At 35.5% G+C, this 24626-nt stretch overlaps 1 protein-coding gene across 2 annotated transcripts in view, besides 1 other annotated feature; it reads right to left on the bottom strand.

Annotated features, from left to right (window-relative positions):
- The window catches only part of SEMA3A (semaphorin 3A), a 536949-nt gene that overhangs the window by 291134 nt on the left and 221189 nt on the right, over positions 1 to 24626 (bottom strand). The gene's annotated exons all lie outside the window — the stretch shown is intronic.
- Positions 3905 to 5104: an enhancer, noted in NCBI's record as "CDK7 strongly-dependent group 2 enhancer chr7:83880131-83881330 (GRCh37/hg19 assembly coordinates)". NCBI's record gives its function as "activates an origin of replication core promoter dependent on BRD2, BRD4, P300/CBP, MED14 and CDK7 cofactors, with strong dependence on CDK7, by STARR-seq in HCT116 cells {active_cell/tissue: HCT116}" and the evidence as "EXISTENCE:reporter gene assay evidence [ECO:0000049][PMID:35650434]".

The following is a 24626-nucleotide window of genomic DNA, read 5'->3' on the forward strand; positions in this document are numbered from 1 at the left end:
AATATGAGAATATATTTATAATTATTACAAAATGATATAATGTAATACAAAGGGATGACATGATTATAAATTATGGTTTTTAAGTGTCATTAATGCCATCAAAAATGTTTTTAGTGGTGAAATCTAAAAGCCTAAGGAAAAAGTAAAATATCAGATTGATATTTGATATCAGTATATAGAAATTTGTGGCAGTAAAACAAACCAAGAAGAATTATGAGAAGGTACATTTAAAAAGCAAGCACAGAAAGACTTATCCGATTTTTGTAATAGCTAATTCTGCATGGCAGTTATGTAGGTGAATTAGTTTTCTTATTTTTAATCTCCAGTGGTTTTATAATGAAGTTTTATTAGCTTTACAAATTTTTAAAACATAACTACTTCCACTTCACAGAATATGTATAGCACACATCCATGTATTCAACATCAAGATTAACATATTGTCATATTTGGTTCTAGTCCATCATATTTTCTAGTTTTTAGAAAAATTGAAAAAATGACAATATAAAAAGTAGGCTCCCTCTCTGTCTGTTTCTAGTTAACAGTTATAATAAAGTTGGTATGGATAACATATGTAATTGGGAAAAATGATATTAAAATTTTAAAGAAAATAAAACCTTTGGTTAAGAAGGGTTAAGCCAATAAAGAGTAACATAACTTCCCAATATTTACAGCAAAACATTTTGACTGGCCAGGCAGACAAAGGAAGAAGAAGAAAAGGAAATTATCTGCAAGATGTAGAATAAATAGCTGTTTTTGCTTCTAAAATTCATTTAATAAACTCAATGATCCACTGGAGAGTGCGTAAACCATAGTAACTCCCCTTACCCCAGTGAACACTCACCACCTGGTAACTGTTGGTAGTTGTCCAGAAGGGTGTGTGAGAGTACTACTGCCCTGAAAGTATGAGTCTTAGAAGAACTTAAAAAACTACAGACAGTGATGACTCAGTGTTTAGAAGGTAAAATATGTGATAAGTTTAAATTATTTCTTCAAGGTCCTTTAAGCATGATTTACCTTCTGGATTACATCTGCATGAATTGACTACCTAGGCTCTTTTATAGTTTATATATTATGTTTATATTTTCAACATGAATAATTCTGCTTTGTGTTGGGCAGTATAAAGAAGTCATTCCCTTGTCACCATCCGATAAATAAATGCATACATAAATAATCATTCATACTATCTTCCTTTATTGCTTCAATATAAAAACCGGCATATGTGGTCTCCTTTCCAGTAAATGACAAACATAATGAATACTTAAAATATATATTTAAAGATAGTTTCCCCATGTTGATATTTTCCCTCAATTCTCCGCTTTCTCTTCAAATAACTTTTAGCTTGTCCTTTAAAGTGGCTGTTAATAATGTATTTGAGGGAAAATTATTAAAATGGATTTTTTTAAGGTACTTCAAATTCTTGACCATGCCACTCTGACAAATTAAGCACAAGTACTTTCTGCAGCCCTCCTGTGCATGTGCTATATGCCCGGCATGCAAATACTTCACAGCAAAAGGGAACTGGGAAAAAACCTTTTGCTTGGAGGCTGTGGCATGTGGTCAAGCAAATAATTTCATCATAAACTGAGCATTCACATGTCTTTTTGTGAGAGTCAGCAGATACACATTTATGTTCCTCTACAATATGTCTCTATTCTGCCTAGTGATAAACACTGCTTTTTTTTTAGCTCTATTATCTATGAGTTAAAATATTTTTTTCAGACACGTTTCAATAAACAGCACGTCAGTGATTGTCTATAGTGTTAAAAGGTTTTCTCTAAGCATATCTCCTAAAACAACTCCACTCTTTGATCTCTCTCTCTCTGATCCTCCCTCCCTCCCTCCCTCTCTCTCTTTTTAAAATTACGCAGTAAGTTTTAGGAGGGTCTGTACCTAGGAGAGACTACAAAAACGTTCCTTAAGACATAATAGCCCAGCGTTCCCACTATGAGGGAGTGTGAGGCTTCAAGGAACAGGAAACTTACTGCTCCTCAGAGACTGCATCTTCCCTCATGGCATGATCTGGGTCAATGGAAGGCTACATTTGACTAGATGTCTATGAACAAGTTCTAACCTCATGAGGAATGAGAGTCATGGGTGTATCTAGGCTTGGCAAATCATATGCAATATTTCATGCAGTTCAACTTTTCGCTTCCCTGTTTCAGAAGAATAAAGTGCTTCTCTGAACTCTGCTGGATTGCCAGTCCTCTGGCTCCTCAAGTGAGCCATGTTCCTGCCTTAGCTACTGTATCTGGAGATTGCCCAGAATCTAAAGTATCTCTAAAGGGTCATTCTTCAAACCCGCCCCTCTACTTGTATTTACCCACACTGAAACACTTTTAGATTAACTTCCAGTAGATAGAATTTGTTTTGAGAATAGCAATTGAGACCAAGATGGAAAGGAAATTAGTAAGGAGGAGATTTGTGCTGGTCACAGTCTCTCTCTCTCTCTCTGTCTATCATCTATCTATCTATCTATCTATCTATCTATCTATCTATCTATCTATCTATCATCTACATATATATAGATATATACATATTTAACTTCTTTTTGCCAATACATGCAGGTAAAATAAACACATCTGGCTTTCCTGTTCCCCATGGTGATGGGTTAAGATATATTTTTCATATACACAAGTTTCAGTAAATAATATATCAACTATTGTTTATAGTGCTAAAAATGTATTCATTAGGAATGCCACCTGTTTTTAAAGAGATAAAACCAAATACTATATGATACTGAAAAGAACCATGATTCCAGGTCTTATGTCATGTAATATGTGGAATTAGCAGTGCATTTGAGTCTGGTTCCAACTCTTAAAACACTAAATATGTCATCTTGGGCAAGTTACATCATCTTCCTGAGATTCCTTTCTAAAAAAAAAAAAAATTGTCAAGTACCTCTCTGCCTTATACAATTATTTCAGAAGTCAAGTGAGGTAAAAAATAAGAAAATTATTTACATAAAATAAAATAGGCTGTGCTTGCATAATGCTCTAAGGAAGGGGAAGCAGTTGCATCCTGTTTTTTTTTTTTTACTCTGAGACTGGTATTCTTTCTAATTGACTCTGCTCAAACGTATGAAATATTATTACCACATTTCAACAAGCCTGATTTCTTTCCTCTCTAATCCAAAATTATAGACTTCTGAAGTCTTCAGACATCATATTGCAAAGAGAAAATCTTATAATCAGTTACTTGCTGGGGATATATAAACTATACTGGTGTGTGATTTCTTTTGAAAAATTAATGTATAGAAACATATAATTAGGCATAAAACACAATTTCTTATGTATCACTTTATTACTTAGAGATATATAAAAATTTACATTTTGGTTACATTAATATTTTTTTTTTTCATCTGTGGTTTAAAACCAAACCAAAAAAAGAAAAAAAAAGTAACATTTAACTGTTTAATTGCTTCCATTTTGTTTGGGAAACTTAACCTCAATTTAACCTTTGTGGCTACTGTGCAAGTCAAAATCAAATGACTTTGACGATCTCAGTCCCAGAATAATAAACTCACTGGGGGCTTTAAACCTCTTTACCTTTAGCAGGGGGAGCTGAGCAGTCTTCAACTTGTTTGTGTTCATTGATTGATAATGAGCAGTTTCTCTGTCTACATCTGTGTGGGACCATGTGAGGTCTGCTTTAGCCTGCTGGGAGTTGAGAGGAGGGAGAGGCAATCACAGTGTGTTTAAAAAATTGTTCTAAGGATGACATTTGGGAGGCAAATATTTTGGCCACAAGCCAATGTAATTTTTTTTAATGCTAAGACAAGCTTGGCACTTTACATTTAACTTTAATCTGTTTTCATAATTCAATATAAATTGACACATCACTATTTCTATGTAATGGAAAGTTTCTTCAAGTGGTTACCTCTATCAATAGGTTATTTTTAAAATACAGTTATGGAATTTTATTCTGATTTCATCATTTGCTTAAAAAAATCTATTAGGCCTCAACTTTTACTTGTCAATTATTAAATACCAGTTTCTTGCTTTTGTTTTCTATTCAATTTGACAAAGTATGCGTATGTCCAGCACGCAGATAATCTCCTCAAGAGTCAATTTTTTCTTATTAAATGGAGATGAGACAGTAGCGATGAAATTCACAGAGCTTACTCTTACTAAGGGTTTCTCTTATCTTTAAAATTTCAAAGTATAAATAGGTTCAAATATAACCATTGCATTTTTGCCATTTATGTAACAAAAGAAAGGTATGTCAAATTTCAACATATCTATGGTTTAATGACACCATTAATTTCTTTGTTCTATGCGACTGACTAACTTTAATGATATCAACATTCTGGTTCAATATCGTGTTTTCAGAAGCATTGGTTAAAATGAAAAATGTCATTTGTTGATCCAAGGTACTATGTTTTGGAAGTGATCAAGAGAGCAGCTGGGCTGGAATTTCCGATTGAGGAATTCCAGGAGGTTAGGAGCCAGGAGAGCTGATTTACATGATTGTTAGCCAAGAGTGTGCTTCCAAGTGGACAGGAGGACTTGAAGCCAGTACACATGGTCAGAAGAACTAACTCCAGCATAAGCAGCAGGTTCTCATTTATTCTTAAGTGAGGACATCCATGCTAAAGTGAAGACAGAGAGATTGTCTTTGAGCCAGAAGGCTGACTCAAGAAAACTATATTCCTTTATATCTTGAAAGGCTATTCATGGAGTGGGTGTCCCACAGAAACCAAGCTACACAGTTAGTGACCGCCCTAGCACTCTTTACATAAAACTTATTATTATGTGACTCATCCAGCCTCACCACATACTGAGCTTCTCCTAAGCAGCAAAAGCCGTTTGTTTTATCCTGAGAGTGACTGGTAGGATTTCCTGGGTCACTGAATCTGTAGAATTCTTACAAAATTTAGAAGCTCTTTTCTGATTAACCAAGAACAAGAGAACCTAGACCTTCTTTTCCTACTCATGTGAGCTACTGATTAAAGAATGAGGATTAATATAATCACTAATGTGATTCAGCGTTCACAAAATAAAAAGAAAACAATTGCGGAGAACATATACTTATTGAGACTAGAGAATTTGGAGGGGGAATTATTCTTATAATAAATAAAACCACAAGAATAATATGGCTTTTAAAATGTCCTGTAATTCCAAAAAAGTAATTCTACCTGAGGTCAAAATGATGTAAATTTGAATACTCATCCGAATCCAGCAATGGACTCTTCTGAGTAACTGCTAGAGTGGATAGAAAGTACATCCTCCCAGCAATCCTCTTCCCTGAATGTCATTGTTCCCTGCAGAGACTTTGGTAAGTGTTCAGGAGGAGTAAGATCAGTGTCAGACCACTTAATTGTTACCTGGTGGGCATCATTCTATGGTATTGCTGAAGTGTAGCATCACATAATTTAACAGTCAGTCATGTGGAAATAGAATTGACAGTCACTTCTGAAAGAAGAAAGATGAGAAAACAATTCGTAGTCAAATAGAAGGGTACTGACCTCCATATAAAGGCAAACCACGCAATAACACAGAAAGAAAGAATTTTTCCAGATGTGGTATTGAGTCTGCTATAGCACACACAGCAAAATGGGCTACATGTAACAGAGCCATTGTTGAAAGTGAAGTCTCCTTCATCAGTTATGAACCTGTCATAAAAATTACTGCTTACCTAAGATATTTTCCCAATGCTTGAAAGACATTTATCATTTATTGAAAACCAAATTTCCCCATATATAAATCAGGAAAACAAATTGTTACCTATACAGTCATTCAGGATGACATGAATATTAAAAGCTTCCGCTATATAGTGAAGAATAAAAATATATGGATGATATAAAACATGTTATTTCACTCTCTCATCTATTTACAGAAATTGTATATATAAAATTATCAATTTATTTTAAAATGCGAAGTGTAATTTTTAATAAAGTTTCTAAGAGAACTTGGATCTAAAGGCTTTGTGGATGTATACTTTTGTGCTGAAGTTACTTATCTTTATTTTTATTTTATTTTATTTTTTTGAGACAGAGTCTCACTCTGTCGCCCAGGCTGGAGTGCAGTGGCAAGATATCAGCTCACTGCAACTACCACCTCCTGGGTTCAAGTGATTCTCCTGCCTCAGCCTGCCGAGTAGCTGGGACTACAGGCGTGTGCCACCACATTGGCCAATTTTTGTATTTTTAGTAGAGACAGGGTTTCACCACGTTGGCTAGGCTGGTCTCAAACTCCTGATCTCAAGTGATCCACCTGCCTCAGCCTCCCAAAGTGCAGAGATTACGGGCATGAGCCAAGGAGCCCAGTCCTGAAGTTACTTAGAATCATGCTTTCTACAAAGGCCTGGTTAAGAGCTATGTAACTTTTTTATAACATTAATTAAATCACACAGTAAGCATTTCCTGGGCATCTACCTTGAAGGGTTTGGAAATATATGAGTAGCAAGACAGATCTAGCCTCAGCTTATATGGATTCTCTAGCCTGATGGAGAGTCCAAAAAAAAAAAAATTGTGTTAAGGGTCACAATGTGTCTATTAGATTAAGTGGCCCAGTTACTTGCTATTTGCAACTTTAATGAGGTCAGTTTTGTAGAGATAAAATGTGTACAAGACATGGATATATATTTTATGTTATATATTTACGTATATATAGTATCCATTATGTTAGATATGGATGCATAATGTATGTATTCCATATATATGCATATAATATACATGCTTTATATTTAATACAGGGGGTGCAAAGTTGGGGTGGTTCTTCTCATCTGATGGTTAATACTTTCTCCATTGCAGTAAGAAGTTAAATTATATCTTGGAAGGAGGGATAGAGGAGGGCAAATGCTGTAAGAGAGAAAGATAAAGATACCTGGAAATGACTTCTGTGGAGAATTGCAGAGAGGAAGTTGACACAACTAAGAATCTCTGGGCAGCATTAGGACCTGGTTGCTGCTGGTCATCATGAATGTGTACCATTACCAACTTTCATTGTTCTGTGATTTTCTCCAGTAGTTCTGGTGGAAGCACGGAGATGCTAGACTAGTACAAATGATCCCAAATTGGGGTTTGGCAGAAAGATGCAAGAGCTTGATTAACTTAGATAAATAAAATATTAACATGATAGTGAATTACAAGGAGGATAGAAAGGAAATGACAAAAATGATGACAATTGAGAAAACAGAGAGATCAAGCTATCAAATGTGTGAATGAGACAAAATCTTGAACTGCTGTCCTCAAACATCTGAAAGAGAGAACTGGAAAGAAGGAGGCTGTGAGAGATTTAATCATCTCAGTCTTTTATTCTAAACTTCTCATGATGACAACAAGGGCCAGATGTGACTATTGGGATTTGGTTACTTAGGTTGAATCAAGTGGAGATGAGGTCAAGGAACTGAAAGGGCAGGTTGTCATCTGAGCAAAAATAAAGACATTGCATTTCCTTAAGATAGCTGTTAGGTTTTGCATGGGAAAAACAAAACAAAACAAAACAAAAACTTGAGTTGGGTTGCTAAAGTTTTCAGCAAATTACAGGAAATGATTTGAATGTGAGTGAAACTCACTAGGAAGCAGAATGAAGAGATAGAGCTGAGTGCTATGATCTAAAAGTATACGTGTTTGTACCCGAGTTGATCTGCGGTGGCTTAGCAAATTCCCTGAGAATTAAAATCAGAGGACAATGACGCATAATATTCCAATGGGAATTCTAAATATTGTACATTTCATGAAAATCCTTAGTTCTTGACACCTCTTCTTTAAAAATTTAAGCAGTTTTACTACAGTATAATGATTATAAAGTACACATATTTTAACTGCTAATTGGCACATATTTACAAAATGGACTTTCTGTGTAATCACCACCCAGTCAAGATATGGAATTACCTATAACCCTTGCTTTGTACACCTAATCATTATCCATACTCTGACTTTTATAATCATGGATTGGTTTTGTCTATTTTTGTCTGCTTTTATAAACTGCTTGACCTATTTGATGGCCTACACATATGAACCAAAAGACATTTATATGAAGTTAATGAAGTATTATTTGCAATTGACTTCCTCAAATTTTAATGAAATAAAATTTGGCATGTACTTCATTTAAGAAGAATGTGAGTCTTTTCAAGTTCTAGTTTTTGACTGCTGGGGAAAAGGTTCAAGTGAAAAGCAGACAGAAGTAAGATGAGGCTCCAAAGCTTTGGAAGTAGAAAGTAGATTGTCATCATGGAGTGAAGCACTCGGGGACATTACATACCTGGCTATATGTATGAGTCCTTGTCCATTGGCAGGCCTTGGTTCAAAGTTGAATTTATCAAAAACACCATAGCAAACAGAAATATCAGTTAATTTTTTATTGAGCACTGATCACAATACAGGCATTCTTTTGATAGCTGCGTATATATTATCTCTGTTATCTTCACAGCTATTCTGTAAATTTGCTGTTCTCCTACTTCCATTTTATATCTCTCTAAACTGAAACATAAATAATTGAGATTGTCTTCATCCAGGATTTCCATCCAGACTATCTCCCCCAAAGGCAACACTCTTTCATAGCCAGACTTCTTTCAAACCAAACCTTGACCCCTTCACAAAGATTGTAGAATTCCAACTGGAAATGGACAGGAACACATCTGTTACCCACAGCAACTCTGTTGAAATCTGAAACCTGAAGAATTACTCAAATGGATAGTCTTTGGTGAGTATTTCTGGAGTCTACATTCTCCCTTTTCTTTGGTCTAACCTAGAAAACTTCAGGGGCGGATGTCTCTGTGTTCTTGTCATATTTCCATTGATTGCAAAAGTCTTATGGTTTTATGCTAAGGTCACATTCATTATCAGCCTCATTATGAGAGCTGATTGGTAATGAGAAAAATGGCATATAGATTAGTAGGCATACCAAAATCACTTCCAAAAATAAAAACAGAAACACTCGGCACTGATTTTTTTTTTCTGATCCTTTAAACAATTGCCAACTGAAAAAACAGGCAAGACTTTTAAAATGTTAATGTCCTCTTTATTATGATGGCAGATAAAACAATCCTGCGTCTATCACTTTTTAATTCAGATTTATTGAATATCTAGAGATTTATAATCCTTTCCCCAAGCACAAGAATAAAATATAATATATAATTAGCATCTGGAGTTTTCTGAAGACGATGTGATTGACGGAGGTGACAGAGATGATGTAAAGGTGTCAATAGCACTTAAGTCTCTGTATGTTTGATTGTGTGCATTTACAGTCCCATACCTGCTTAAATACATACATAATGCAGAGAAGAATATGAACATGACTATCTTCCACAAGAAATGACATGCTACAGTAGGTGGAAAAGTGTTGCTTTAACATACCTAGTAGTCAATAAGTGGTATGTGAATTTGTGAAGTGAATGTAGTACCTATAGATGTACTATATATCCTATGATACTTAAAGTTACATCATTATTTAAAAGTAATGATTTGTCTCTAACTCATTTATCTTTGAACAAGGGAAATATATTCTTAAAGCTCTATTGAAGTGCATTACAACTGCTCTGAGACTTAGAGATCCTTTGGACATTTTTAAAGCCATTATTTCAATCATTATTTTATCTAAAAATACTGTTTTAAAAAAAGGCAAATAAGGAAAACAAAAGCCTAGTGAATTTTAGCATCTGTCTGAAAGTAGTCTAGTAAACCACTGTAATAAAAATGATGTGATATACTGAGTTTGCTGAACAAAGGGAGCTTACAACACACTCCAGGGTAGCAATGAAGGGGTTACTGTTTATCATAATGTACAACGGGATGGAAAATGCATACTGGCTTTCAAGTTCAAAGGGCTTGAAGAAACTCTGGTAACTTTATCCCCTTTAGTCACAAACTGTGAGACGACATATGGTTAACATCCTTTTTTGGTGTTATTTTTAAACTTGTTTATGAGACATAAATACAAAGTATTCTAAACCCTATAATGACTTTTCTCTCTGAGTGGAAACTTGATTGTGATGGCCAAGCATTACTTCTTGCAGTTTGACTATCTGATGAATTTTCTCTTCACTGGTGAAGCAATAATGGATGCTGGAGAAACCAGAATCCAAAAGACTAATATATTATATTGTTGCTCTTCTTTTTTTTTCTCTTTTGAGTTTTCTCACGGCATAGGTATTCCAGACATAGACAGCTTCGATGGTTGAAAAGGGGATTTAGAGAACTGCCAAAAATCATTTGGAGAAAGAGAGTGTCTCCACAATGTTCCATGAATCAAATGGTAACAAGGGAATATTATTTTCTGACTAACTTAATTTCTGACTCTATAGCAGCTAAAGGTTTGGTCCTCCTAAATCACACAAGATTTTTTTTAAAGAAAAGAAAAGCCAAAGGAAGTAATAAATGTCAAACTCTCATCAAAAACAGGCTGGGCACTTTAATTTTTTTTTTTTATTTTAGTCTTCACTGGAGTTCTTTGAACTTGTAAAAAGTAACCCATCTGCAGTTCAGATCTACTGTAAAGCTGGTTTACCATGCTACCTGTTTTAAAACTTACATTTTTTTCCCCAGGAGATTAGGAAACCGGGACCATAATACATTATTAAATATACACATCTATTCCCTTTAATTTTCTTTGGTATATATTTAGAATCCCATACACTGTAATCAGGTAACATTTAAAGTATTAAGATGCATAAACATGTGGGTACTAGCTATAACACTGAAGTCATTTGTTTTAGGACAAGAATGTGTACCTGCTCTGAAACATTAATCCCCACAGAGGATGGCCAGGGCCTCCCAGTAGAAATTAAACAGTGCCTGCTGTGATTTTCTCTCATCTGATTCATCAACTATGTGTGTATTGGCTCTCTTTAAATGAAACTGAAAAGCAATAAAGACCCAGAATGAAATTTCATAAAGACACTACTTTTTTTCTAGTGCTTAATTGTGGCAAAAAGTATATGTTTTTATTCATAAAATGTAAAGAAAATGGTTTAGATGAAATGAATATCATGACACAAACAACTTAAACTAGTGAGACAAAACATGTGGACCAAAATCATATAATATGATTAACATTTTATTTCTATATTAGACATATAAACAGAATGGTATTTCATTTCTTGTGTTTCTTACTTTTTCTGTGACAAGTCAAATGTTATTGCAAATACTCATGTGACATATCTAAGACAAGACCGAACAATGTCTCATTTAAAGCTCTGAGATTCAGGTCATTGTCTTCGTGTTCAAAGACTCGTTCTCCCCTTTCTTCTAGCAACACTGCCTCACACAGGGTCAGCACATTACTGGTTCCCCTTTCTTCATCATATGGATTCACATCCAGCATTTCATTGACTTAGGGTGTTTCTTTTTGGGGGTCAACGGGTAGAGGAGATATGTGGCTTTCAAGCAATCCTTCTGATATAAGCTCATATTTCCAAAGGTCAGATGCTGCTATTGCTTAGTTTGTAACTGTTATTACCTTGACCTCACTTCCTATGTATAATAGGTATTCATGGATGGATGTTTAGTATTGTAATGTTTCTACTGAACTCTTAGGGAATTCTTTCCCACCATATAAAAGTTCAAGGGAAAGAGAAAATGTGACATAGTAATCCAAAGAAAGATTTATATGCTGTATTTTGAGAAGATAATTCTACCCAATTCAATATTATGCTCTCATCCTTGTGGGAAAAAAAATGGGGACAGTCACTTTGGTTTTTGCAGGATTTTACACACATTTTCAGACAAGCAAAAATATCCCCTATGTTTCATTTTTTGATATCTGAGAGTTGAATAATATTTTAAATGCTTCAGGTCACAATGCATATTTGCTTAGTGTGCTTTTCACAGAATCCTAGAAACAGCTGGTCAATTTTTATTTATTAATCAGTGCTGCTTTACTGCTCCATGAGACAATGAGAAAATGGTGCAATCAAAATTATAGCCCAAGATTCCTCACTTCTAGTCATAAATTCCAACCACAAAACCTCATTCTTCTTTTTAAGGTACTGCTATAGGAAACTTGTCTTATTCCAAAACCAACACTCTAGGGATTATCTAAACCAGAAGGGATGATTTTTTTTTTTTTTTCCTTTTCTGAGCTGTGGCCTTGCCATCTGCTATATTTCCCTTGTTTCACAAAACTGGTTTCTATGACCAAGAAACTTAAGTTCCAGCAAAGAAATAGGATATCTTATGCTGGTCTTTTAAGTTTAGAGAACAGTATGTTTCAACAACCTCAATGTTGAGATACCTGTATTTTACATATTTTCATATTATTTAGTTTTTCAAAGAATAAAGCATTTGAGCATTAAAAAATCCACATGTATTTTAAACTAATCAATAATAATTTCCAGCAACTTTTCACTTAGTTTACACTATAGGTGATAGGTTTTATGGGATACTATTTTTCAATTAATTCTATGCAACACACAATTTATGAAGAGAGTTTTGTTTCTTCTATACTTGTTCTGAATAGTATGCCACCTCCAGGATAAATTATGACCAAAGAGACGAGTATGTTTTTTACCTCTTTCATATCTCCACCCACTTCATTCTGAGAACAGAAATTGGTTCCCTAAAGCTATGCAAGATTAACTTCCCAGGTGGAAGTTATGTAAGATACATATATTTGTCCATGAGGTGTAGGGAATTGGGGGTGAAATGAAGGAGGGGTTTGGAGAAAGGGTTACTTGAATATACAACTGAGAAAAAAAGGAAAACATGAAAATAAATAATTATTATGTAATTTTCCTGCAATAAATCCTAGGTACTTATTTTAGAAGAAAATAAAAGAATATTTATGGTACTGGGAAAAAAATGGGAATCTTCCCTTGCTAAGATTAAACGTTGCCCAGGAGGAGATATAGATGTCACTAATGAAAACCTTGGGTAGGAGAAAAATTAAAGCAAGCTGCAAGTGAAGATCTAAGTGATTAGTGCAGTTAAAAAACAAACAAACAAAACAAAAAACAACACACGCACAAAAAAAAAAAAAGAAAAGAAAGGAAAAAAAAGAGCAAGCAAGTAGAGAAATTGGCATAAAATGGCATAAAATGAAGGCAAGCCCCTGGCTGTTCTCTGGAGAAAGGGAGTGTTCTAGAGCACAGCTCATTGTAGATGCCGATACACAGCAAAACTTTTGATGCTTCGTGTCAGGTGCCTACTGCCTACAGTTGTTTTCAAAGACATTTTCTCATATACTTTGTTGCATCTACAACAAACAGAATGATGCTTAGCATTTAGTTGGTAGTAAATAAATACTTGCTGAGTGAACAAGTAAATGAATAAATGAGGGAATTAATAAAATATGAGAATAACTGAATCATTTAAGCGTGGTATATCTTTAAGAGCTTCATAGAACAAAATAAGTAAAACATTACTCTCTCCATAATACTAGGTCACTTTATGTCAAATAAATAATGTGTACTAGGCACCATAATAGGTATACTACTGATGGCAGCGACAACCCATCTGGAGCTGCCATTGCAAGGATGCCAGCTGCAGGAGGAGAGGTGCAGCTATTTACTACATAGGTCCAGTGGGAGCCAGGAACAGGCGAGAGCCCCACCCGCCACCAAGTTGGTGGGGCAGGAGCCCACACTCCCAAGCTCAGTCACAGATGCCCAGCCACAGCTCCAGACCCCAGTATCCCTGCACTCTCCAGGGACCAGAAAGCCTTTCACCCCTGAAGGCTCGAAAGTGCCTGTTCCCACTGTCTGGCCTCTCCCCACTCCCGGCACCTACTCCAATTTTGGACCAGAGTTGTAGCCAACCCCAGGTGCTGTTGCAACACAGTTGGATGTGAGTGCTCTCAGGGGTGGCTCTGACATGCTAGCCCCTGCTGCCTTGGCTCCCTCTGGACTTTGGGCACAAATGAGCATGGGAAGGAGGCCAAGGGGGGGACTGAGGGAGGATTGGCATAGGCCTTCAGGCAACCCTCAGCATGAACAGCCTGTGCGTCATGGATGATATGTTGATGGCAGCAGAAGGCAGATAGGCTTAGGGGCAGAAAGGGGCGTATCCTTGGTGAAATCCCACCTTCAAGCCAGGGACTTCCTGAAGCCTGAGGCCCAGACTGTCCATTCCAGGTGGAGTCTGTGGCCAGGAGTGAAAACTTATGGTGCTTTGTCTGGGCCCCCCATGGCTGTCCATGGACTAATCAACATGCATTTCCTCCCTTTTGAAGCCCATAAACCCCCCAGATTCAGCCCAACTCACACAGACATTGGGATTACCAACTGTGAGAAGGAGATACCCAATCTGGGTCTCTTCAACTCATTGGGATGACCTGGCTGTGGAAAGGAGCTACCCACTCAGGGTATTCTTTCTGATGAGAGCTGGAGACCCATCAGGACTGCCTGTCTGTGGATAGGAGCTACTCACTTTGAGTCTGTGGAGACCTGTCCTGTCACTCAATAACACTCCTCTCTACCTGGCTCACCCTCCAGCTGTCTGCATACCTCATTCTTCCTGGACACTGAATGAGAACTCAGGACTCACTGAATGGCAGGACTGAAAGAGCTATAATACAAATAGGCTGAAAAACCCCCTTGCTGACCACATTGTGGGTGATGAGAAGGAAAAAAAAGCTGTGGCCCTTTAAGGATCCAGATCTAGGGGCTCCCTGAGCCAGGGCTGTAATACGTTATTTGGGGCTCTGTGATTTTTGGCATCTCCATGCTTCCAGGAGCCACCACATTCCCCTCATCCAGACATGGGTGCCCACAGCAGAAGCCGTTTGAGGTGCATCTGATCCAGCTGCAGCCTTGCACAGAGCCAGCACCTGTGCCAGTGCCTGGAGCTGCCCACCTTACCACACCAGCTGGCATGCTTGGCTGTGCACAGAGACCAGATCCAATGCTCACTCACTCATGCACACCTTGCTGCTCTCCGCCTGGCTCGCCCTTGGCAGGCATGGCATCCAGGCTGGCTGTGCAAGCTGAGCACAGCCTGCAATGCCAAGTGGGTGGAACAAGCCCAGTGGGCCCGAGCAAAACCCAGGCAAAGGTGCCACCAGTCACAGAGGTTTCAACTGGAAAAGTGACACCATAAGGATCTTGTGACACTACTAATATTTATAACACTTATAGTCATTCTTTTAAGTGAATATTGTTATCTTTTTTCTTAGAGAGGAAATCCTCTTTTAGCAGATCTGCAGGACCCTTTTGAAGCAAAAGCATGTGCAAAAGCAAGATTATATATTGTGACCTTGTTTGTGAAGACTTTGTATGCTTACATTGAAGATTATCCCTAAGTTTAATGACACTTTTTTTTTTTTATCATATTACTGCTTTATATCAATGGAGAAACCATAGCAGGTATACTTTTAACTGGTGGCCAGCATACTTTTTAGACTTGCCTCTATTTTCAAGGTTTTTTGTTTTTTGTTTTTTGTTTTTGAGACAGAGTTTTGCTCTTTTTGCCCAGGATGGAGTGCAATGGTACGAGCCTGGCTCATTGTAACCTCCACCTCCCAGGTTCAAGCGATTCTCCTGCATCAGCCTCTCAAGTAGCTGGGATTACAGGTGCCTGCCACCATGCCCAGCTGATTTTTGTATTTTTACTAGAGACAGGGTTTTGTAATATTGGTCAGGCTGGTCTTGAACTCCTGACCTCAGGTGATCTAACCGTCTTGGCCTCCCAAAGGCTGGGATTACAGGTGTAAGCCACCATGCCTGGCCAATGTATTTTCAATCATACTAATATATTTATTCAGTGAAACTTATTCAACATTTAAAAGAGATGGAAACTCTTTTGCCTTAAATTACTTTCTATGAGAAGAAGAGCTAAGGAAATCTATATCCATATTCATATCTACTTCTATATCTGTAAACTTATAGATATATGGGTGACAAAAAAGCTTTCTTAGAAATATAATCAGTAGAAGCACTTAAACTTAAACTAGTTTTTATTAACCAATTCTGGGTAGACTAGTCTAATGTTTGGCAAATACCTAAAAACATTTTCCTGTTCATAGTCTATCAGTCTTACATGTCAGATGAATATTTCAGGAAGAGTAGACTAAGAACGTGTATAGCCTCTGCCAGGCTTTATTCAGAGTATCAGGATCAAGCTCAGCAAAAGAACAGATATTTCATGGATGACCCATGGAAGAGGAAAACATGTGGTTTGTTTTTGGAAGAAGTGAAAGGTTTGGCTTTAAGAAGCTGTAATGTTGGGTATAACATATAAATTTATAAGTCTTCTTAAATGTGACATAATTTTAAAAATAAATTATGACATTCATATATTTTCCCAAATGGGACTTTTCCATTTACTTATAGGATCTTCCCTCAATATTATTTTTTGGGCAAAATATTTTTCCACTTCCTTAATTTTTTAAATGTATCCCCAAATTCTAAAATACATTGCATTTTGTGGATATGTGATGGAATTTGTGCTCTTATTCAGTCTTGCGGACAAAGAGCCGGCATGTGTAGGTGGGAATACTTGAGGTCTGGAAGTCCCAGTAACTCCCACTTGGAAAACTGTGTAGGTAGTGCAGAACACAAGGTCAGACTTCATTGCCTCAGAGCAAAAAAATCTGTTTTTAAAGTGTGTAACTTTAATATTGGCAACAAGAGCTATGGTATTTTTTCTTAGCTTGTCTTTGCATTACTTTTAGTTTCCCCATTGAGATATTTTACACTGTATATAACTCTGTGTCTAAGAAATGGGTTTAATAAAAGTACCTAATGCACAGTGTTGTTGTAAAGATTAACTCAGTTTATATACATAAATCATTCGCAACATGTCTGGCACATAGTCAATGCCATATAAGCATTTGCTATTATTATTCCCTCTCTCTTTCTTCTCACTGACACCTCTGCCTGTTGCATTTAATAGTTATCTCTGAAAATGATGTTCCATGCTCGTTACTTCCTGTATCAGTTTTTGGAGTATTTGAATGGAGATCTGTTCTATATCGTTACAGTGCTTAGTAAAGATGGAGTACATGTTAGGTATACATGATAATCATATAATCATAGCTGTGACTCTTGGTCTTAAAAGGAAATAATGCACTCCAACCTAAATTATAATAACTGTTAGTAAAACTTTTCTTTATAGAGTTACAACTGAGATTTGAATAGCGGCAACACAATGTATTCTGGCATATTTCAAACTGTTATATGTAAAATATAACATATACTAACTTATTTTTAAATGTAAGTTGTAAATAAATTATGAAACAGTCAGCATTATCACTACTGCAACCACAAACAGACATTAATAATTAACCCTCCACTACTGTTTACGATAGTATATATATTTTTATTTTTTTGAATTGTCTTTTTTATTTTAATCAAATAATGAATATTTTAAATGCTTATAAGTCTGTCTTCCTTCTAATACAAGTTTAGAAATCTTTCTCAGCTATTTGCATAGATGGAATACTTTAGAAAATTTAACCCGATGATTCCAGAATGTGTTAGGAAAGAATGTAAATATTTGACAAAAATAAATAGTAACCTAAAACAAACTACTTGGGGGGCCTATAACAACAATGTGGATAATTCTTTTCCTTGTTCTTTTTAATTTTCCTGAATATTTATGCATTGGGCTTCTGGCTAAGGATGGCAGCAGAATAGCCAAGAGTCTATAACAAAAATTACTTCTGCGGTTTTTTTCTGGCTGCTGTAACAGCAATAAATTCAGGGATACCAGATATATTAAGATAACATATTTTCATTAGCTTTCTAACCCAATTGTGGATCCATGTGGTTCAGATGAAATGCATTCATGTATGCAGATCTGAAATGCTCATCATAACCAAACTGAAATCAATGCCCTGGAGCATTATTCATCATGAGAATGAGCCACATTCATGCCTAGAAAAACAAAATCCAGTTTGTAATTTGGGTGGGTAGGGCGAGGGTTTGGAAGGTCTTTATTAGACTGCTTAGAGCTGACTTGAGCCAGGGCAGACTCAGTCTTCTATCTTTTCTGTGTTCTGCAGTGAAACTTTAGGTACCAAGACACTGTCTCCTGTAAGTAATCCTGGGTCATAGCATCTCAATGTTGACTAGCTTGTTTCCAGATTCTAATAAGATTTGAAGTTGTCTAAACTTGTGTCCCTATTTTCTGAACCAGGTTTCTTGTGTGGTCTCCACTTTGAGTTTCTCTCCCAGTCATCAGTCTGCTTATCCATTTCCCTAGTACACTAAGGCTCTACCAATAGCACTACCAATAGCACCCACTTCCCAACCCAGAGTACCCCACTTCGAAGATGAAGGCTTCACTTGAGTTTTGTTTAGAATTTTCAAAACGTTATGTGGAACTTAGAAAGTTAAGGAACTCCCCAGGAATGAGGACTAATAAATGGCAAAGCTGAGTATATTATTACACGTAATCATATTCATTTCATTCCAAAGCCTGTGAACTTCTAAGCTATTACTTTTGATTTAGCTTTTGTCTTTTTATCCCCATGAATATAAAGAGTGCAGTGGCATGATCTCTGCACCCAATTCCAGAATGGAGCACAGCAACCCCTGGAACTGCTCCTTAAATGCTGTTGGATGCCTGATCTTGAAGTAGTATTTAACCTGAATCCACTGTAACTGCGTTCTGCTTTCTTTAAATATAATATGTATGAGATACATATTATATATTTTAAATATAATATATTATACAAGATGAATATATCTTATATATAAAATATATTATATATCATATATATATAAAATATATAATTTTATATATTATATATTTTATATGTTTATATGTATTATATATATATTTAAGACATATATATATTTGAGAGCTATAATACCCCATTAACCAATATTTTGAATGAACTGGAACTAAATATTTCATTCCTATTTGTCTACCATGCCTGCCTGAAAATGTGAAAATCTCCTTTCACAGTAGTTCTGTCTACACTCCTAGGCCCAGCCTAGTAGACTAATCTAGTAACAGGTCTCATCCCTGCCACCTCTCCCACTGTCCCCCACAATTCTGAACACTTTGCCTTCTGTGAGCAAACAGTTTTGCTTAGATGACGCCAAACTATGGGTGAAAGCACAGAAAATGTAACTGATATATTGGCTACTTGTTATAATTACTGAGAAACAATGCTAGAAAATTTTTAGGATTATGGCATGAATGACTTCTTAAATCCTAAAGAATTTGAATATAATTTAGTAATAAATGAGATTCCACGGACTATTTGGATAGGTCAGAGTAACATTTTCAAACAATTTTTCTAGCTGGGCATGGTAGCTCACATCTGTAATCCCAACACTTTGGGAGGCCAAGGTGAGTGGATTACCTGAGGTCAGGAGTTCAAGACCAGCCTGGCCAACATGGCAAAACCCTGTCTCTACTAAAAATACAAAAAAATTAGCCAGGCATAGTGGTGCACTCCTGTAATCCCAGCTACTCAGGAAGCTGAGGCAGGAGAATTGCTGGAACTCAGGAGGTGGAGGTTGCAGTGAGTCAAGATCATGCCACTGCACTCTAGCCTGGAGTGAGATTTGGTCTCAAAAAAAAAAAAAAAAAAAAAAAAGAAAAATGTTTCTAATTGTATCACAGTAGCAGAATAAACAAGAGGCCATTTTAGCAATACAGAGTATAGGTGAGAATGGCTATAAGAGAGTGACTGCAAATTGACAGGCTTTTTTGTGGGTCTCTAACTATCCAATACAAAATCATTATTCTTGGGCAAATTTGGAGAAGCCAGATTTTGAGTTAACAAAAATATAAAAAAAAGACTCATGAGTCATCCAGAGAGAAAGGTGTACTACTTAAAACTGCAATGAAATGGAAGGCCAAATATAACTCAAAAAAATTAAAAACATAATTGAAAAGAAACGTAAGGTGCCAACTGGCACATAAATGGAAGGAAATCGCTTTAGCTGGGGAGTGAGAAAATAGAAATGATGAATTAGCTGAGGTTTGGACATCACAGGACTTGCTAGTATGTTTCAAGAATGTTATGAATATTATGCACAAGAGCTTATTGAGAATATTTACAACCTTAAGTATAATATAAGCATTACCTAATCATTGGTGTGTCTATCAAATTATAGTTACAGATTATTTATCATTATTATAGACACAATAGAGATTATAAGTGAAATAATAGTCAAATTTATGGAAATCGTTTTATATTCTCTAGCTTTATTTTTTAATACTTTGCATTAAAATGTATAAAATCAATTTCACTTATTTTAGCAAGGGTACATATATGATACCATCCTTTGAAATACATACACGTTACTAAGCACACAGGTTGAACATCTCAAATCCAAAAATCCCAAATCCAAAATTCTCCAAAATTCAAAACTTAAGTGACAAAATGAACTCAAAGGAAATGTTTATTGGAGCATTTCATATTTTTTGATTTGAGATGCTAAACCAGTATAATACAAATATTCCAAAATTTAAAAAAGTCTAAAATCCAAAACACTTCTAGTCCCAAGCATTTCAGAGAAGGAATACTCAACCTGAATTACCAAAATAATATGTTTTCATGACTCTCTTACCCTTATCCATCTTTCTTACACATGCATGTACACACGAGCACAATTAACAACTTCTCAATGGAGGAACTGTTAAAACATGTTAAAAATTCCCAGAACGTATTACTTTTGCCTGACAATAAGTAAATTTGTTAGTAAATAGTATTAAACTATGTCCCTTACCATACCAGCAAAGTATAAATATGATTTGTAAACAATATTTCATGGGTCTTTAAAAATGTAATTTTTTTCTATAAATATCTGTGCACATGTAGGCCTATACTTGAAAATATATACAGTTTTATTTGCAAGTTTTGATAAAAATGAAGACGTGTGTCACAATTAACAAGATGATTTTGTGGCTGTGTGTGCAAAAAGTAGACTGAAAGATAGCTAAAATAAAAGTGATTTCATGGTCATTTACATGTCTAAAATATTTAATAAAATCACCAACCATTCTTTAACACACATATGCAAACACATACACATAGACTACTTAACCAAATTAAATCAACATCATATTTTATATATAGCTATGAAGTTCAAGTTGTAATTTTAAGGCAGCAAAACTTTATTCTTTTCTAAATATTTATAAATGCTTGCTTGTATTTCTTATGATTAACAGCCAGCTTGGTGTGTTAATTTCTACTTTTGTTTGTAACCTGTCTGATTTTCTTATAGAAATAAATATGCAAAGTTTATTTGAATTACATTAGGATAGCTATGAAAATGGAACTCATAGCTGTATAACTACATTACTTTATTCCTATTATCTAAATACTATTGAAGGGACTAATTGAATCAAGTAGACATAGCACCCAATTTGCTTCTGGTGGGGGCTGCATGTCATTAAACAATGGATATGGTACCTTTTCCTTACGGCCATGGTGATTTTCCTGTAAGACGGAAGGGGCACCAAACTGAGCAAAGAAAGATTTTTCCTGAGAGACATAAGCATGTGTGTGTGTGTGTGTGTGTGTGTGTGTGTGTGTGTGTGTGTGTGCAGGTGCTCTGAGAGAGAGAACTCTGACTTTTCTGCTTTTCCCTTTGGAGTCCCAAGGTAGGATGAGGCTAGTTGTGACACTTTCCTTCTCACCTCCAGCTTGGTAAAACACATGGTCTGCAGTAGAGAAGAGTAAAGTTCACTTGGGCCCAGGTGAAAATGAGAGGGGAAGGCTCTGTGAAATATCTGAGTGCCTACTTCAGTAGAGCCTAAAGCAAACCCTGTTCCTGTCCTTCCTAGTATTTTCCCTTTTTCTTTAGGATAAATTGGGTTGGCTTCGTGTAACTTCAATCCACAGTATTTCCTTGACGTTCCTAGCAAGGGAGGGACCCACCCTCAGGGTTATGAACAATTTACAGTCCTCTGTTACACCATCCTTCCTTTCCTCTCTAGATAGAATGTCAGAATGGAAGCAAGGAGGTTATTATTACAGGCTTAACCTAAATGTGTTCTGATTTACTTTAAAGAAAATCATTTGCAAACTTTGCTCCTTTAACAAATATCAAATTACTTGAAATTCACCTCCCAACTAATCATGACCCATCAGTGTCTCCACGCTTCTCTTGAGAATTGCAACTCCAGCTCAAGGAAAATGAATGGTTTTAATTTGCTTCTCATACATGAGCCTGATCAATGAGCAATTTCACAGTGACTCCTCCTCCTGCTAGCAAAATAGACTTTACTGTACAACTAGAAGAAAGCTTTCATTACTGTTACTACTCCTTGCTTCTTTCCTTTCTTCATTCTTTCTTCTTTTTAATCATTCTCTCTCAGAAATTATTTCTCCTTTCTCCCATCACTGTGGATCAATAAATAGCCTGAATTTGTTATGAGTAGAATTTTTTTTCTGTTTATATCTCATATGTATACTGTATTGTTTAGTAATTTTCATCATCCTATACAACTGGAGCACTCTGTTCCTTCCATAGTTTATCTGATTTGGTTTAATTTATCGGAGTTAAAATGCTAATTATTTGATAAATAAACTTTAAATATATTTTAACAAAACCTATAAAAATGTGAAACATGGCTTTGAAGTAGCTTATTCTTAGACACACTACCCATGTCAGTAATCTTTATGAACCCTGACAAAAACTGGGCCATGTGAACTGATGGAGATGGGAATTACGTGAGGTTAGCCTTCTAGCATCACAGAAATTTTAGAGCTTATAGGGACCTAGGAGATAATGCAGTCAAACTCTCCAATTTTAAGGATAATTAAATTTAAATCACGAAAGGGTAGGGGAATTGTATAAGATAAAACAGCTAATTGATGGCAGAGCACATATGAAAATTGGGGTCACCTATCTCACAAGTCAAACATCTTGCTTCTGCAACATGATCTATGTTAGTCTAATGTTAAGGAAATAAACATTACTGTATTATTATACTGTATTGTTATTATTTAGGTTTGCAAAAGCAACTCTCCACTTAGAGCTTCATTTTCTAAATAATGTTGGTTGTTTCATATTCCATTAACATTTACCTATGCGACATAGATTACTTTTAGGTAAAATATTTAATTTAGTGTTTTTGGCATATGTATTTTTTTACCCAACTTGCATAAAATATATAAACACATTAAGTAATCATTTTAGAACAAAAAGTAATTACTTAAAAGAAGCTTAATTTAACTTCTGAAGATGAAAATAAAGAAAGCAATTTCTTTATAATGAAGTCACATTTTCTCAAAACAAAAAATGCTTTTCTCCTCTATAAAACTTGTTGAGCAAGTGTGGTTTAAAGCAGGAATATTTAAATGGAGAATATGATTTGGTATCCCCTGAGGTAAGATCAGTTTTCAAAGGATTAAGCTTGGGAATTTTCTCAAATGATTTACCTGCTAATCTGGTAGGCCATGAGAGCCAGAGTGGCACTACATTTTGCTTTATTTCTCAGCCTGGGTGGGCCTAATTTTGGGAATAAGGTAGAGAAATTTGTGCTTGGAATAAAGGAAAATAAAAACTGAAACATCTGTGTGTCAAGTACACACATCTGTATAGTTTGCTGAATATCTGTGAAACACACTACATCTCAGACCTTTATTTACCTACTGTGCAAGAGAATACAAGTGAAGGGAGTGAATGAAGTTGAAAATGACAAGATGAATAAATAAATCCATCTCCTTAGTTACTCTCAGCAAGTACCTCTGACTCTTAGTTTTTTTGCTTATCAGCCTTTGGCAATAATATCTTTTTCTTTCTTTCTCTCTCTCTCTCTCTATATGCATATATATGAATAATATATTATTTCATATATATAATTATGAATAATTCATATTCATAAATATATAAATAATTATTTATATATTATTCATATATATGCATATATATTCTATTCATATATATGCATCTATATTCTATTCATATATATATGAATATATATAGATATATATGCATCTTTTATTATTTGCTTAGCTTTCTTGTTTAGTAAATCTCAGGAATACATTAGGAATAAGTGTTATTGGTTTTAAGAATAAAAGCACTTGCAAGTATTAGATTTTAAAACAATTTAACAACATTTCTAAAAATAGAAGCACAATTTATAGGCAGCAATTGTGCTTCTCAAGTTCTAACAGTAGGGCAATTTCTATAAAATGGAACTTTCAGGTAGATTACTTCTTTTAATCCTCTGATCCTACCTGGTTCACCTATTGAATAGGTTGACATTTTTTCAGATTAGTAGTACTCAGTTTTACTGTTTCTATTATTGATTTATATCCGGAATCAATTTGCTATTATGGGACAAATTTAAGAATAATTAAATTTTGTAAGAAATATATAAGGACTATATATTGTGGACAATATCATCTTTCTAATCACAATCTGTTTTCTTCTTTTCTCTCTCTTTTTTCTATTTATTTATAGCTACCTCCTCTGATGTGTACTCATTTTAATGTTCGTATTTTTTGAGACAAAGTCTCACTCTGTCACCCAGGCCAGAGTGAAGATGCGCAGTCATAGCTCACTGCAGGTTCAAACTCCTGGGCTCACGCAATCCTCCCACCTCAGCTTTCCATGTAGCTGGGACTACAGGTGTGTTCCACTACACCCAACTTGAAGTGTGCTAATTTTAAAGGCACAAGTACACACATTTAAAGAGACTAAGATAATGGACCAACAAAATGAAAGTGGCTCTGTAGTTTTCAACTTCAGAATAGCCTCCCTCAGGTCACTATTACAATATCTGGACAACCACATTCACTAAATCTTTAATAGAAACACAAATGTAAATAAAGAGA

This window comes from Homo sapiens, chromosome 7, assembly GCF_000001405.40.
Source record: "Homo sapiens chromosome 7, GRCh38.p14 Primary Assembly".
In the NCBI taxonomy this organism is placed as follows: Eukaryota; Metazoa; Chordata; class Mammalia; order Primates; family Hominidae; genus Homo; species Homo sapiens.